This window comes from Homo sapiens, chromosome 8 (genome assembly GCF_000001405.40).
Source record: "Homo sapiens chromosome 8, GRCh38.p14 Primary Assembly".
Taxonomy (NCBI): Eukaryota; Metazoa; Chordata; class Mammalia; order Primates; family Hominidae; genus Homo; species Homo sapiens.
The window spans coordinates 142,062,031-142,063,902 of NC_000008.11; the positions used below are offsets into that span (position 1 = coordinate 142,062,031).

General features: G+C 52.8%; 1 annotated feature.

Annotated features, from left to right (window-relative positions):
* Positions 738–1,455: an enhancer, noted in NCBI's record as "H3K4me1 hESC enhancer chr8:143144129-143144846 (GRCh37/hg19 assembly coordinates)". NCBI's record gives its function as "activates a minimal SCP1, AML or CMV promoter by ChIP-STARR-seq in primed H9 embryonic stem cells {active_cell/tissue: H9 hESC(primed)}" and the evidence as "EXISTENCE:reporter gene assay evidence [ECO:0000049][PMID:30033119]".

Here is a 1,872-nt window from a genome sequence, read left to right on the forward strand (position 1 = left end):
CTAAAAAAAAAAACAGAAAACAAAAAAACAGCTCTTTGCTGCTGCTGTTGTGAGAGTGTGAAGCTCTGTGTGTGCCGTGTCGGTTTTGTGACTCTTTGCTGATTGTGAGAGTGTGAAGTTCTGTGTGTGAAGCGTCGGTTTTGTGATCTTTACTGAGGTGGCCGGATGTCCCGTCCCCTCTGCCCTTCTTCATTCCCAGTTCCCTGTGACTCAGTCATCCCTACCCTCTGCTGTGTGTGCCTGAGAAAATGTGTAGAACCATAACCAGTTTTTTAATATTGGTAATAGTAAGCCATAATCTTTTTGTGTGTGTGTATTTTTGTGTTTCTAGTAGAGACGAGTTTTGCCATTCTGGCCAGGCTGGTCTCGAACTCCTGACCTCAAGTGATCCACCTGCCTCTGCCTGCCTAAGTGCTGGGATTACAGGCATGAGCCACCATGCCCAGCCTAAACCATAATTTTGTCTAATGTTTCCCTTTGTCACTTTATTTCAAATTTCTTTTTAGACAAGCTACTGGTGCTTCTTGTATAAAACAGAATATTGGCAAAGAATAAAGAACCCGATGCCGTGTTTAACCCTTGTGAAAACAGCTGCTGAGCAATGATGGCTCCTCCCAGACACATTAGGTAGAAAGAGAGGATTTTTCTTACAAACTAAACACGAATTTTTTCTTTTTAGTCTCTCTTGGTTTATTTATGCCATCTAATCAGGGGTGAACATTTCTCTTCTACCCAATACTCCTCTGAGGCTGAACTTTTGGTTGAGACAAATTGCTTTGGGCCAAGTTAGGGGCACGGTGCTCTGGCCTGACCACCTGGGTCAGAGTTGCACCCCCAGTAGAGAGGGACCCAGCCTGGACCCCACCTGCTCACGCCTGAGCGGCTTTGAAACCAGGACTAATGAGTATCCCTGATCACCGACATCCATTATAACAAGCACTGGAGAAAGAAAGAAAGAAATCCTTACTATCCCATTAGGAACACTCTAGGCAGGAACATTCCACTTCAAACTGATGCATGGATTTACTCAGGTGTGTGCGGAGGGGGTAGAGGAAACCCAGAGTCCGTGTGGCTGTCTCGGTGGAGGCTCTGGAGTGGAATGCACATTTTCCCAGGGGTTTTTGTCCAGGTGGCTCACCTGCCACAAGCTAGAGAGGCCCCTGCACCACCCAGTGCTGCACCTGCCTGCCAGCCAGCGCGTGAAGAGCCTGCTTCCAGCCTCACTCCTGTGTACCTGCCTCTCAGGCATCAAGGGACGGCCAGCTCATTAGGGCTGAGGGCACCTTGGGCGGCTGCCACTGAGGTGAGCACCCAGGCCAAGGACAGCACTCAGCTCCAGCTCCTGGAAGCTTCCAGACCCTGACTGGCCCCCAAATATCCATGGCACAGTCTCAGGAGGAGGCACAGCATGGGGCCTGTTCAATGGAGGTGGGGGCTGCCTTCACTGTTAGAAGCACTGTCTGACTCCAGACGGGGACCCCCAACCCATGATGCCCGTGAGCATGGGGTGGCTTGGTTGGGCCTGTGGCCCAGCCTAGTGCCCTGAAATCTGTCCTCGTGTGTTGGGGGCCCAGGCAGCAGTCCTGGCTGTGCTCCCTAGGGGAGCCCCAAGTGCAGACAGGGCTGAGGGCTCCTGGGAGGAAAACCCAGGGTTCCAGTCCATGTTCTGCACAGGAGGTGTGTGGCTCCTGGCCTTCCCGGGACTCAGAGCAGAGAGGACGGCAACGATGGTGTCACAGGGCTGATCTGGAGCTGGGAGGAGACAGGCTCTGGGGGCTCCATGGAGTCAGGGCCTGGCGCCTCCGGCAGCAGCCTGGGAACCCCCAGCGTGGAGTCCACTCTAAGGCAGCAGATTCCTGGGGGTGAGACTAA